Below are 14,445 nucleotides of genomic sequence, written 5' to 3' on the forward strand. Positions count from 1 at the left end.
TTGGCCGTCAGCTTCCTTAACAAAGGGAAACCTGTCAAGGTAGAGCAAGGTTTGCTGGGAATTGGTGTTAAAACAAGAAGAAATTCTCAACCACCATTTAAGAAGACTGGATTAAACATGACTTCAAAAATGTGTTGGTTTCAAATTCTGAGTGGTTTTCAAGGAGGCTTAATATGATTTCATTAAAAATGAATTAGAGTAAATTACATGGGATTCATCTATTAAATACTGTTACTGAAATTTGCCAGTGGAATTTTGGTTTTAATAAAAAATCTGAAATGAAGGAAACTGTAAAAAAATTCTGCTTTACAAATATAAGGTGAGAATACAGTTAATGCAGTTTGGGTTTTTCTGGGGTTTTTTTGTGGTTTTTGTTTTGTTTTGTTTTGGTGGGTTTTTTTGTGTTTGGTTGTTTTTGTTTTTGTTCTTTTTGGCTACAAGGTGTGTTTTATTTTCATTATTCATAGAAATAATTTTCTATAATGTCCTGGGGCAAACCAGAGAATTTGGCAATCTGATTGGGGGTGGTCCTTCAGAGACCCACAGGCCAGTGGCATCGGTGCAGAGTGCCCAGGTTCACAATGCAGCTTGTGGCTCGTGTCCATCTTGCAGGTCGCTCTTCCTCCACATCACAACTGGGGTCTTAAGGATGACGAGGGCAGGAAATCCTCCGGGCTCTTAGGAAATTTCACTCCGCTTCTGCCCAGTGGTCTCTTTGGTCGGCAGGGTGTTCTTCTCCTGCGTCTCCGTTTTCTTCAGCTTGGCCCTATTGAAGCTGGCGATTCCCCCCACGTCTGGTTTGTCTGCCATTTTCTTAAAACAATCGGTACCATCCGTGGCGGGCTCTTAGCTCACTGCAACACTCTGCCTCCTGGGTTCAAGCAATTCCCCTGCTCAGCCTCCCCGAGTAGCTGGGATTATAGGTGCCCACCACTGCGTCCAGCTAATTTTTGTATTTTTAGTAGAGACAGGGTTTCACCAATATTGGCCATGGTTGGCCAGGCTGGCCTCAAACTCCTGACCTCAGGTGATCTGCCCACCTCGGCCTCCCAAAGTTCTGGGATTACAGGCGTGAGCCACCGTGCCCGGCCTGGTTAATGCAGTTTTTTTAGTTTGTTCTTTCTTTTTCTCTTTGTCTCTCCTCTCTCTTTCTTTCACTCGCTTTGTCACCCAGGCTGGAGTACGGTGGTACAATCATAGCTCACTGCCACCTCAACCTCCTGGGCTCAAGAGATCCTCCCACCTCAACCCCCCACGTAACTGGGATTACAGAAGCACACCACCGTGCCCAGCTAATTTTATTTATTTATTTATTTTTTTAGAGATGGGGGTGTCAGCATCTTACCCAGGCTGGTCTCGAACTCTTGGGCTCAAACGATCCTTACACCGTGCCCAGCCTGGGGTTTCTTTCTTTAAAACATTATACCTTTAGGTGTTTCCTGTGTGTTTAGCAGTTAATTATCCAAAAGATCTAGTGTAGCACGTCTCAATGTGTTTGTGTCGTATTTGTTGAACTAATGGCATATCTTTTAGCATTCGCCAGTATCACAGAGTGAAGTTCTGCACACACACAGAACTTGAATGTATATGTTGCCTGTGTACCTGCCTTTTCTTTTTTTTATTTACATTAGAATTTCTATTTGGCTCTTTTTCCCTTGTAGGGCATGCTGTTGAAGCGAAGTGGCAAATCGTTGAATAAAGAGTGGAAAAAGAAATATGTCACCCTGTGTGACAATGGCGTGCTGACCTATCATCCCAGTTTACATGTGAGTATAGCCCCCTCGGAGCAATTAACAGCTGCAGACCTCAACTAAACACTGTGGGGAAGGGGAACCTACCAGCAGCCCAGCCTCTTGTCTCTGTTTGAAGTGAAAGTCGTATTTGGTCTCCTGCTCAACTGTGAGATAAATAACCCTGTTCCTCACACTCCACTAGACCATATGTCTTTCTCTCTCTTCCCCTCCCTACCAGTCAATCTGTGGCTTTCCAATTCTACAAAGAATTACAATAAAAGGCACAGATGAAGTAAAATTTTAGATGAGAGTAAAAAGACAGGGGCAAGGAGAAAAGAGAAAGGAGAGAAGAGTGGTCTATCTGAAAATCGAGAATGAAGGAAACAATTACATTTGAACCCAGGATTTAGCTTTGAAAAGCTGTGAACAATAATCAGAAGTCAAATGCAATTCATGACTCAGCTTTTATTGTCAGATAACACATTCCAGTGCATTAGGCAAAAGAAACTCTCCTCTTTGTGTTATATGTAAGTTTATGTTACATATAAGTTTGTTATATCCGTGGTGTATAAGATAGATGTATAAACAAAATTAACTTTATTCTTGGGGAAGAAATGCAGACGTTCTACCCATTGATAAAATATAAAAAAATGCAGACATTCTACCCTTGATAAAATTTAAAGTTGGGGTGTTCTAGTTTCATAGCAAACCATTCCATAACTCTTACTTGATGCAGAGAAATGTGTAGATTAGAATATATGGTGGAAGTCAGTCATTTGATTCCATTGTCCCTCAGTATCTATGGGGGATGGATTCTGGGATCTGCCTTGTATACCAAAATCCATGGTGGTCGAGTCCCTTATATTAAATGGCATAGTATCTGCATATAACCTGAGAGTATCATCCTCTATACTTTTAAGTCATCTCTAGATTACTTATAATATGTAATAGAATGTAAATTCTCTGTAAATAGTTGCTATACTATTGTTTTTTATTTGTATAATTTTTCACTGTTGTATTAGGTTATTTTTCACTGTTTTTTTTTTTTTTTTTGAGAGGAGTCTCACTCTGTCTCCCAGGCTGGAGTGCAGTGGCGCGATCCTGGCTCACTGCAACCTCTGCCTCCTGGGTTCAGGCAATTCTCCTGCCTTGGCCTCCCAAATAGCTGGAATTACAGGTGCCTGCCACCATGCCCAGCTAAATTTTTTTGTGTTTTTAGTAGAGACGTGGTTTCACCATGTTGGCCAGGCTGGTCTTGAACTCCTGACCTCAAGAAATCCGCCTGCCTCGGCCTCCCAAAATGCTGGGATTACAGGTTTGAGCCACCGCGCCTGGCCTTCTTTTGAATATTTTTAATCCATAGTTGATTGAATCTGCACATTCAGAATCCACAGATAACAAAAGGCAACTTTATATCACTGTGTCAGGCTAGTAGTAATAGTCACAGCAGCAGCAGCAGCAGCAGCAGTATTTTTTGGTAGAGACTGGGTCTCCCTCTGTTGCCCAGGCTAGTTTTGAATTCCTGGCCTCAAGCAATCTGCCTAACCTCGCCTTCCCAATGTGCTAGGATTACAGTCATGAGCCATGACACCCAGCCAAGCTATTAATTTTTAAAATTTTGAAATGCTTTGTAAAATGGCACAGTTATTGATGAGAAGTTAGAAATAGCATATTGAAGAAAATTAATATCATTCCTAAAATACCACCTAGGGAACCTGACTTCACATTTTAGGGTGCATACTCCCGGCTATTTCTATGTATATTTCTCTTTTCCTTCCACAAGCACATGGTCACTGTGTATACACTGCCCACAGCCTGCCTTCCTCACTCATAGTAGATATTTTCATGTCAAGAAATATACTTGTACACCACCATTTTTAATGATTATATAATATTCCACTGTGTGGATGTGCCTTCATTGATCCCACGGTATCTGAAAAATGAACCTTGGCAGATAAATTTACTTTCAGTTTTTTCACTGTCATAAAGAACTCTAATCAACGTTCCTCTGTTTATCTCTCTGTCCCCTTGTCCAATTTGCCTAGGATACATTCCTAGCAATTGGCTTCCTGCGTTGAAGAGTCGCATGTGCTTTCATGGTTTTTGCTGTATTTTGTCAAATTCCCAGAAAGGTTGTATCAGTTTATCTCATCTGGCAGTGTATAAGAGAGCCTTTTCTCTGCCCTCTCAAGAACATTTACCTTCAGAAAGAAGAGCTTTTCCTAATATGATAGGTAGCACATGGGAACCTTGATGCTGAGTTCGCTTGCTGGCGTCTTGAGTTGCCCTTGTCTCCTTGTCTTTTAGCGTAGCTATACCTTTCAGAACCACGCAGCAAAGCAGGTCTTCCGTCGGCATCTCTCACTGGTTTCTGTTGTTACTGAAAGCACCTCCCATGCGTTACTATTCAGTGGGATTCGAGATGCAGATATGGATAGATTCTTACATAGATATTCTTTATTGCAGTAAGGAAATTCCTTTGTGCTCAGTGTCCTGCTAGTTTAGTTTTGGAATATAGTCAGACTGGTTCTCCAGGGGGCCTTCAGATCGAAGAGATGTAATACCCATTCCATGACGCCCACCTGGGACCAGGTTGGCATCTCTCCAGGACTGCCCCATGTAGGTCTCCAGTTCTGCAGCCCTCTCCACACCCAGCTTCCATCCATCAGAACAACAGCGAGGCACCAGGTCTTCCCTGGATTCTCTCTGCAAAGTTGCTCCATCAGCAGTGGCCGGGCTGCCCTGTTACTGGCTTAGCTCCTCCTATGGACCCTGTCAGAGAGCAGAGGTCTAACTATTGAACCAGTCGCTTTATGTAAGTTAGAGAAGTGCAATCAAAATATCATTCTTGGTAAGACTCACTGACCAGTAAAAAGTGAGAGCTGATGGATGATACATTTCCAGTCAACATATGCTCACTGCTGAGCTCAGGCTCAGTCGAAGGGATGTTTGCTGCTTCTTGCCAAGGGGCAGATATGGTAACAACGATATGTATCAGAAGATTCCCTTAGGAGGCCTAAAGCCTGTTTGCTTTTCATCCAATCCCTTGAGTATATAATCACAACCAGTTCTTCAAAAATTCTCCTATCCACAGGCTTTTTTTTGTGATGTCCCTCAGTGTTTGCCAATTCCATCCTTTCTCCTTCATTCATAAGTATGCATGAATCTTACTGGAGTACGGAAGAGGGGCGCAATGGGGCTTTGTTGTATAATTGTATAGCAAGCAAGAGCCAATGTCATTTTCAAATGCAATCCTTTTAATGCCAGTCTCCTTGGAACTGAAATTTTTGATGCAGGTACGTAGTTCCCTATGGAAGGGGCTTAATCCAGGAATGGATTTGAATCACTAGAGCCTGAAGAGATGGCATGACCTTCCACGTAATCCTTCATGGGTTTCATTTTCACAGCCAAGCATTGGATAAAAGTGTGGAGAGGCAGTGACTTCCAGGTGTATTCTCTGACAGGTGCATACGAGTCCGTTCTGTTGTGACTTGTTAGGGGAAGTGCTGACCCACACCAGCTGAGTTAGTCTGGTGGTCTTGGTTCAAAATGGGAAGAGGCATTCAATGGGACACCCACGAGCCGAATCCAGATTTTCCTTCATAAGAAACTTGAGAATGTGCAAATGTGTTGCTAGTTCAGGTCCCAAAATTTTACACCGTGAGAGTGACCCAGTTATCTCAGTCTGGAAAATTTCAAAAGATCGTAGAACCAGATGATCTCAGTTAAACACGGACCATGCTGTGACACCCACATCCTTGGCTATCTCCAGGATGTATTACGGCAGAAGGACCACTGAGAGTCATTGGCCACATGCAGTGGTGGCATAAGTGGTCAAGTGTTGGGAAAGCTGCCAGGATTGCTGGTGTTTGGGTTTCAGAGTCATTATTGTTGCTCCTAACTCTATTACTGACCACAGCGTGAAGTGGGGCCTCTCCCTGGTAACACCCTATTGTCTGAACATGGGAACCTGCCTCCTTTTCTCTCCTCTGGGATTCAGGCCCATGTCCAGCCTCTGTAGACCTATATCAAGTCATTAAAAGTAGATGTTAACCTGTCAGTGGACCAGAATAACTCCCTGTTTTACACTAGAGGAAAATGTTATCTGGTTTCTGAGAACACTATTCTCATCCACCTTTTCTCTCAAAGGCAGATGGGGCCCAGGTTCCAACACAAGAGCCCCCGGAGCAGGGGCCTGCATTGATCTCATATAGCATAGCCTACAGCCCGTTCTTTTCCACAGAGCCCAGGAAAAAAAATCCCGGCCAAACCATCAGATATTTTTAGTTTTCTACAAAGATGTAAACGGGTATCAATAGTGAGGTTGCTGCACCGATTCCTGGTGTATACCACTAATTTAAGAAGCCCAGGTAATTAGTGGACTAAAAAGGAAACTAGCATGCTTTTGGGGAGACGGGATTCTAATCAGCTAATACTTCTATTATGGGGTGCTGACTTGAGAGCGCCAGGCTTGCAGTTGTATTAAACGTGGAAGATTCAGACAGAGATGAGATAGGGCCGTGCGGCAGCCCATCACCGGCAGCGCTTGCTCGTGGTGGTGAGGCCTCTCCCTTCCGGCACAGACATTTATCTTCTGTCCACGTGTGTGCCGCTCACAGTCCACGTAAGGCTGCGCCCTGGTGCCACCACCAGCCTCCTTCCATTTGCTTATCATGTTAAATTCAGGGAGCTGGGGAGAGGGTCTTGCACACAAGGAACATTGGAGCAAGAGTAAACAACTGAGTCAAGTTTAAACGGAATAGGCCAATGTGGTTATGGGCAGGGGGCGGGGGAGCGGGTAGTTCAGGAGGATCTCAGGATTATTTGTTCTTTAGGATCAAACCGAGAAGGTGGAATCGAGGGTCTTTACCACCCTTGTCTTTCTCCCTCTGTGACACAGGGATGTTCAGGCATAGTAGCTGATGTCAGAGGATTGCCTGTGTGGGATAGGAGGGTCTAGAAGGCTCGACTCCCCTCCTAGGGCTGCTCCACACAGCTCCTGCATTAGTCAACCAAATTAAATTCCCAGGCGAGCTCCCCAACCAGTCCTCCCTAGACAAGACAGGCAAGCAAGGGCCGAGTTGATAGACCTGCCTGGGCAACATGGAGAGACCCCATCTCTACAACAAATAAAAAAGTGAGCCAGGTGTGGTGGAGCACACCTGTAGTCCCAGCTACTCAGGAGGCTGAGGCAGGAGGATCACTTGAGCCAGGAGGTCAGGGCTTCACAGTGAGCTATGATCGTGCCACTGCACTCCAGCTTGGGCGACCATGCAAGACCCTGTCTTTAAAAAAAAAAAAAAAGTTGATAGAGGCAGGTACAGCATTTGTTGCTGTCGGGTAGAGCGGCCACCCACTGCCCCAGCCTTCCCTGTGGCCACTTCAGCTCCTGCGTGCTCCCAGCAGTGCCAGCATCCTCATACCTTTGTTTGGGAAAGACACCCCAGCAGTGGGGAGCTCTGGCTTTCAGTTCCTTTGCACACTGTGGAAGCAGGAGACTGACCATTTCCTAACCTTGCCAAAAACTCTGGGTGAGGGTTTTTCAATGTCTTCATTAGATGCCCTTAGGAAAAGATCTCCCTGAAGAGGTCATTTCTGTTCCTGAGGTATCTGAACACAGTTTGCTTATTGCACAAGTGTCCACGGAAGTGTTTGTGTGAAAGATCGATCACCTTTGGACACGAACTTCAAGTATCAGTCCCAGACAGATGTTTTCCACACATCGGTGTGTTCGAAAATAAACCCAGCTCTTGGCCAAACAAACAGTCGGTATGTGGCCGTGCTGTGCACCGAGCTCGTGGAATCCCAGCAGGATGACCTGCTCTTTGAAACTGTGGCTTCAGAACAAAGCAGCCAGTCATGAAACTGGGGAAACCTGACATTGCAGGACACCGTGGGGCTGGTGTGAGGCTGAAAATGTACCTAGAATGGGTCGGCTGCCTGGGAACCTCACGAATACTGATCCCCAGGGACTGCGTGTCTCCCTCAGAACTGGGGCAGCTTTCTACTTGCAGAAGATCATGACAAGGGACTTCAGCTGGGTGGTGGCCCTGGGATGTCACTTTCCTTCCCACTTAATTGCTTTGGATTTCTCTTTCCTTTCTCGTCATCCCCCAAAAGTGTCTTTGCCTTTTTTTTTTTTTTTTAGCCCTGAGCCCCAAGCTCAGTCCTTACATAGATTGTTTAGGAGACCAGTAATCCCTAGTTCCTTTGACTTGCAGCTCAGCCTCACTCTGTCCTTTACTTAGGACATAAGCTAAATCTACATACCCTTCCTACACCACAGATAGAAGATATGGAGGGAAACCTTTTTCTCCAGGTCTGTTTCATGTTGTTGAAAACCTCAAACCTTTTTCTTAGGAGAGAACCTCTGTTTCTAAGCAGTGGAATAGAATTGCTTATGGAATAGCCAGGTCATAGGATGTGATAATTTCCCTGGAAATCAGAGGGGAAAAGAAGCAAAACATGGAGCCAACTCAGACTAAGAAAGCTCCATGAAAGTTTATGCCAGTGATAACCTCCAGGCCCCAGATCTGCTCAGCTTGGGTTCTGTGAAGTCTTGACCCCAGCCATCACCCACAGCCACATCTCCCAGCCTCCTTCAGCTCTTCCCCAAAGGCTTAGGAGGTGTTAGCACTGGCTGCCTCAGGATGATGGGGTCCCTGCACTTCCATGCTGTGTAGGTTGAGAGAAGGAGGTATGGGCACAGGAGGAAGTGATGGTAGATTTCCACTGTAGTTATTCCCTTTTTTTTTTTTTTTTTTAAGACAGTCTTACTCTGTCCCCCAGGCTAGAGTGCAGTGGCACGATCTCAGCTCACTGCAACCTCTGGGTTCAAGTGATTCTCCTGCCTCAGCCTCCTAAGTAGCTGGGATTACAGGCATGCACCACCACGCCTGGCTAATTTTTTGTTTTAGTAGAGATGGGATTTCACCATGTTGCCCAAGCTGGTCTCAAACTCCTGACCTCAAGTGATCCACCCGCCTCAGCCTCCCAAAGTGCTGGGATTATAGGCATGAGCCACTCTGCCCAGCTGTGGTTATTCCTAAAGGCCAGTGGTGGGGCAGGATAACAAGGACAGCACCAGAGTGGGGAGGGGTGAATGAACCTACAGCGTCCACATCATTGCTTCCCTCACAGAGTATGTTCAGCCACCAGTTGACAGTGGGCGGGGGCTGCCCAGCCTGTCCAGGAGCTGGAGCACACCTGCATAGCTTTCAGATCACACAGAGGTGCCCTGCTGCAGACGCTCAGGCTACATCCGTTCTAGTGGGTGTGTTTGAAGGTAGACATTGGGAAACTGGCTGGAAGGTGTCCGTTTTAGAAACATGGAGAACGAATTCTTTCACTGGGTAGGAAGTTTGATGACATTGTCTTCTAGGTCACTTCAGACTCTGAAGAATGTGAGCTCTAAAACTTTCACCAAAAACTCTCAGCAAACTCAAGCTAATGGAGTTAGTTGGATTTCTAAGGAAAACGCTGTCCTGAAGTTGAAGCTACTGGGTGTAAGACTAAAACTGAGGCTCAAAAAAAAAAACACCTCAGTTAATTCATCTTTCTTTCTCAAGATGCTATTATTAAATGAAACCAAAACCCAGTTGAGATAACAGATAGAAAACTCAACCAAATAATGAATGAAACTGCCTTAATGGAGTGGCCAACTGCCCTGGTTTTCTGCAGGACTGAGGGGTTCCCAGGGTGCAGGACTTTCATAGCTAACATCAGGGAAGTCCCAGGCAATCTGGGACCTGGCCGCACTTGCTGCAGTACTGACCGCCCTAACAGCTCCTTTATCTCCACTTCGCATTTTGCAATGATAACCCTAAACATTTAAATAAGACTGACACGGTCAAAGCAAGCACGCTGGCTGATGCTGCTGCTCTGCGGTCTACATTTTTGTGTCTTTGAAAAATTGTATGTCTCCAAGACCTTTAAAAAGCCCTAACTGCTTAACTTTCTTGGGGGAAATATATATGAGTGTCTCATGGTTTTCAGACACTTTGCTGGATCACAGTTCAGGTGGATCGAGGGCAGCCTGTTCTAAGACCCTGAGAGTCCCTTTCTGTGGACTTAAATGTGAGCCTTAGGGAGCACCTTGATAGAAAAATGGAGGCATAATGAGAAAGAACTTGGACCTCAGGGCTTCACAGTTCAGCGTGGCCACCTATTCATCTTCCATGTCGCAAGCACGGCCGTCGAGTGCAAGGCTGCAATTCCCTGCTGACAAAGATGTGTGCAGTGAGATTCCTAAGTGGACCTGGAAGGATGAGCTGAGTGGCCTCACGGTCAAGCCAAGGACTTCAAGGTGCCCCTGTCTAGGAAAGCTCACCAGTGTTCCGGTCCTGGCTCTCTGGGCTTCCTCAGGAGGTCGTTTGGCAGCTGTGAAACTCCTCCCCTCCGGGCCATACCTGGCAGACGTGCATGAACTGGTCAGACTTTTAAAAAACCTCCTTCTGGCCAGGTGTGGTGGCTCACACCTGTAATCCCAGCACTTTGGGAGGCTGAGGTGGATGGATCACCTGAGGTCAGGAGTTCAAGACTAGCCTGGCCAATATGGTGAAACCCCATCTCTACTAAAAATATAAAAACTAACCAGGTGTGCTGGTGGGTGCCTGTAATCCCAGCTACTTGGGAGGCTGAGGCAGGAGAATTGCTTGAACCCAGGAGACGGAGGTTGCAGTGAGCCGACGTGGTGCCACTGCACTCCAGCCTCGGCAACAGTGAGACTCCCATCTCAAAAAAAAAAAAAAGTCCTTCTTAGATTCCTTTCCATTCTGCATGTGCCCACATTAAAACAGCTGTGGCTCTGTCATTTCTCCCTGACCTGCAATACTGGAATTTTCCTTCTTAAATTTTCCTCCTTTAAAATTGTTAAAGAGCTTTTCTTCTTTTCATTACTAGGCAGGTTAATTTCTATCTGAGTGGCTTGGACTCTCCTGCAACACATAAACCCTTTGATTCTGTGTGTCGTCAAAGTTTGGTTTTGTTCTTTCAAAGCCAGGGCAGCCAAACTTGGACTCTCTAAAATTATCATCAGAATGCAGATTTCAGAAAGTTTCTAGTTTCAAAATCAGACAGAAGACCCACTTCTTTACTGATGTAAAGACAACAAAAAGATCTGTGATGATTCCTAAGTAGGTATTTTCCTCAAAAGAAATCATTCAAGAAAAAAAAAAAAAAGATTGCTATGAGAATAGCAGCTCGTGGCTGTGCTCAGTGCCTGTAACTGCCTTTGTAAATACACGAATTCCTCACATAGGACTGCAACATTTTACTTGAGGATTGAAGATTCACGAAGAATCTGTGATCCATCTCTTCACCCACCTTCACTGTCTGCTAGGATGGACCTCAGACTTCTTGAGGTCGTGAACATTCATTTACACTCAGAGAAACTTTTCACTGGTTTCCCCAGAACATTGAAACAGTCAGAATAACTCCTGTGCAGGCTACTGGACTGACAAATGTGAAGGCCAGATTTTCAGATGTGAAGCTGGGAAGACCAAAAAGACAGACCTCCCTTTCTTACTGAGAAGAGCGTAGTCAGACATGTCAAGTCTGGCACGCTGCTGCAGAAGGCGTGATTCATCTTAAGATCAAAAATTATTTCATCTTGCTTTCTTGGTCATAAGCTAAGGTGCTTGGAGCTGTCCTTTGGCCTTTCATGTGCTGTGTCTGTGGTGCGGGTGTGCTGTGTCCTCATAAGGGTGCGCCATGTCTGTGGCGTAGTGTGCACCGTGTCCATCATAAGGGAGCGCTGTGTCTTTGGCGCGGGTGTGGCGTGGGTGTGCCATGTCCATCATAATGAAGCACCATGTCTGTAGCGCGGGTGTGCCATGTCCATCATAAGGAAGCGCCGTGTCTGTAGCGTGGGTGTAGCGTGTCTGTGGCGCAGGTGTGCCGTGTCTGTGGCATGGGTGTGGCTTGTCTGTGGTGTGGGTGTGCCGTGTCCATCATAGGGGTGTGCTGTGTCTGTGGCGTGGGTGTAGCGTGTCTTTGGTGTGGGTGTGCCGTGTCCATCATAAGGAAGAGCTGTGTCTGTGGTGCGGGTGCACCATGTCCATCATAAGGGTGAGCCATGTTTGTGGCGTGGGTGTGGCATGTCCACGAGGGTGCACCATGTCTGTGGTGCGGGTGTGCCGTGTCCATCATGAGGGTGCGCCGTGTCCGTCATGCAGATGTGCCTTCATGGCCCTCCCTGATTCCCAGGCCCCATCTAGTGTACATCATTGCCTCGGGTGAGAATGTCCCTTTCTGCCCCATCTAGTGTATGTCATTGAGGAGGAGGGCTGTGTTCCCCACAGTCTGCCCAGGGGCTGTCATGTGAGTGGCACATAGGTATTGCTTAGTACACACCGGTCACAGTGACTTGAGTGCCACCACAATGAAGTTTCCAATCGTGTGACTCCTTCAGCATCTTTGCTCCTGAACTTCCTGGACTCCAGCCCTCAACATTGACAATCCTGGCTGTGCTCTACAGATTGTGGTATGATTGAGACTAACAGTACTCACCATGTCTTACAACATGACCTCCCTAAACTGACATAGGGTTGGGTGAACACACACACACACACGTAATCACTGCCTCACGTGGCATTATTACAAATGCTGCAAAATCTAAACACATCACTGGAATCCAAAAAGCAATCCATTTAGAGGCATATGAGGAGATTGTACGGATATTAAAGAACAAAGATCTGGAACTATGGCAACAAACCAACGTTGCTGTTCTAGCCTGAGCTGCCTGTTTTAGGCAAATGGGAATGCTTTTGGAAACAATATGAACCGCAACGGGTATTTCTGCAAGTTTCTAAGACTGGCAGGAGTCAGCTCGGGGGAAGCAGGAAGAATCCCCAGTTGGTTGGCTATTCTTGGGACCGAAGAGATAATCCCCATTGAACAGAGCCTACACTCACATCCTTGAGTCCGTGATGTTCTTCGCTTCCCTGGGAACAGCCAGAGTCCAGCTTTCCGTGTGGATTGCTTTCACAGGGATATCTGGCCCTTCAAGCCAGTGGTGTGAATGTCACCCCAAGAACCTTGACGTGTAGATACTGCCTACTTCAAGTCATACTGCAGCTCTGCCTCTTCCCAAGATAGGATTTGAAGCAGCTTCCAACAGAAAATGGATGTGAAAATGTATTGTGAACACATGCATAGGACCATACATACATCATACACACACACATACACACACACTTAAACATACACATGCACATGTACACACACACACACAGCTATGGGCACAACTTCATTTCAACTTGTAGATTGTGAAGTAAAGGCATTGGAACTTTGTGGCTTGCAAATCTAAATTACCTCCTTCCATCTTAAGATCTCTTCCCTCCTTTATTCTAAAGTGTGATTCGGCTCCTCTCTTAGCTGATCCTTCTGGTGTGCAGGTCAAAGAACACTGAGCTGGGAATCAGTTGTGGTTTCCGATTCTGCCGTTGCCCCACCCGCTTCCATGTTGGTTCCAACGTGGCTTTGTGGAGTCCTGGGACTCAGGCACAGTGTGAGAATCACTGAGCCTCTCAAGGTCAATTATGCAGTGATTGCTTGGTAGCTCTTCTTCCTCCACCCACAGCCTCGGCCTCGGCCTCCGTTTTCTCTTCCTCCTGGGAATTCATCCAGAATGACGCCAGAAGTCACACAGAGGTGATCTTGCAGACCATACTCCCCTGAGTGTGCAGGCCTGCATTTTTGCTCAGTTCAGCTAGCGCAGTGGCCTGCTCATAAAGTTTTCCAAAACCTGTAGGCTGTATGAAGAATAGCGGTTACTCCTAAGCTGCTTTTAACTTTCACCTTGTGATTCTCATCATATTTTTGTTGATTTCCCTCCTTTGAGTTCTTTTATGTATTTCCATGATGGAGAAGATCCCCTCTCCCGCTTGGTTGATGTCCGTGCCCCTGCTCTTGCCCCAGCTTGCCTCCTCAGACTGGCCTCTCACCTGCTTCCTGCTCTATCGCTGTCTTTGTTTTCTTTTAGTTTCTCATACTTGCCATGTTATCTGGCCTCCGGGTCTTCACAAATGCAGTTGCCTCTGTTGAGAATGTTCTTTTCTGCCCCATCTCTTTGCCTCACTAACTCCTCTTTCCAATCCTGGCTTAAATGCTACTTCCTCTTGGGAGTTTCCCCACACTCGGCCTATTTGGGCACCCATGCTGTGTGTGCTCTCACGTTACTCTATTGGGCCATCTCTCTGATTCTCCCACAAGACTGGAAGCTCCTTGAGGCAAGGATGTATATGTCACCAATGTATCTCTAACATCTGGAACACTGGCTTGTTGGATGGATGGATGGATGGATGGATGGATGGATGGATGGATGGATGGATGAATGGAGGCACAATTAGCCCATATGCTTAACCTTTCCTTAAATGTGTCGGACTAGAGTTCCTAAAACCTCGTGGAAGGAATCCACCATGCAACACTTTTAGGAAGCAGAAATATGTCTCAGCCATATTCTGGCTCCATTTGCTGCAACTTAAAGAAGGATCTTGATGGGAGAAAAGCTTCAGGATTTTGTTTGTTGCTTTTTTCATTTTAATTGTAAAATACATACAACATTTGCCACCTTAATCATTTTAAGTATACTGTTCAGTAGTATCATATACGTTCACGTTGTTGGGCAGTCAACCTCCAGAACTTTTTCATCTTACAAAACAAACTCTACGCATAAACACAAATTCCTATCCCCCCTCCACTCAGCCCCTGG

At 46.0% G+C, this 14,445-nt stretch overlaps 1 protein-coding gene and 1 pseudogene across 4 annotated transcripts in view, besides 1 other annotated feature; one reads left to right on the forward strand and one right to left on the reverse strand.

The window, feature by feature from the left end:
* The window catches only part of AGAP1 (ArfGAP with GTPase domain, ankyrin repeat and PH domain 1), a 637,751-nt gene that overhangs the window by 387,641 nt on the left and 235,665 nt on the right, over window positions 1-14,445 (forward strand). For all 4 annotated transcript variants that reach the window (NM_001037131.3, NM_014914.5, NM_001436125.1 and 1 more), the window contains exon 10: window positions 1,662-1,766. In NM_001037131.3, the coding sequence (NP_001032208.1) occupies window positions 1,662-1,766 (105 nt within the window). The remainder of the gene's footprint in view (window positions 1-1,661; window positions 1,767-14,445) is intronic.
* On the reverse strand, window positions 434-844 carry TMSB10P1 (thymosin beta 10 pseudogene 1; annotated as a pseudogene).
* Window positions 11,211-11,711: an enhancer, noted in NCBI's record as "H3K4me1 hESC enhancer chr2:236801538-236802038 (GRCh37/hg19 assembly coordinates)". NCBI's record gives its function as "activates a minimal SCP1, AML or CMV promoter by ChIP-STARR-seq in naive H9 embryonic stem cells {active_cell/tissue: H9 hESC(naive)}" and the evidence as "EXISTENCE:reporter gene assay evidence [ECO:0000049][PMID:30033119]".

Source organism: Homo sapiens, chromosome 2, assembly GCF_000001405.40.
Source record: "Homo sapiens chromosome 2, GRCh38.p14 Primary Assembly".
In the NCBI taxonomy this organism is placed as follows: Eukaryota; Metazoa; Chordata; class Mammalia; order Primates; family Hominidae; genus Homo; species Homo sapiens.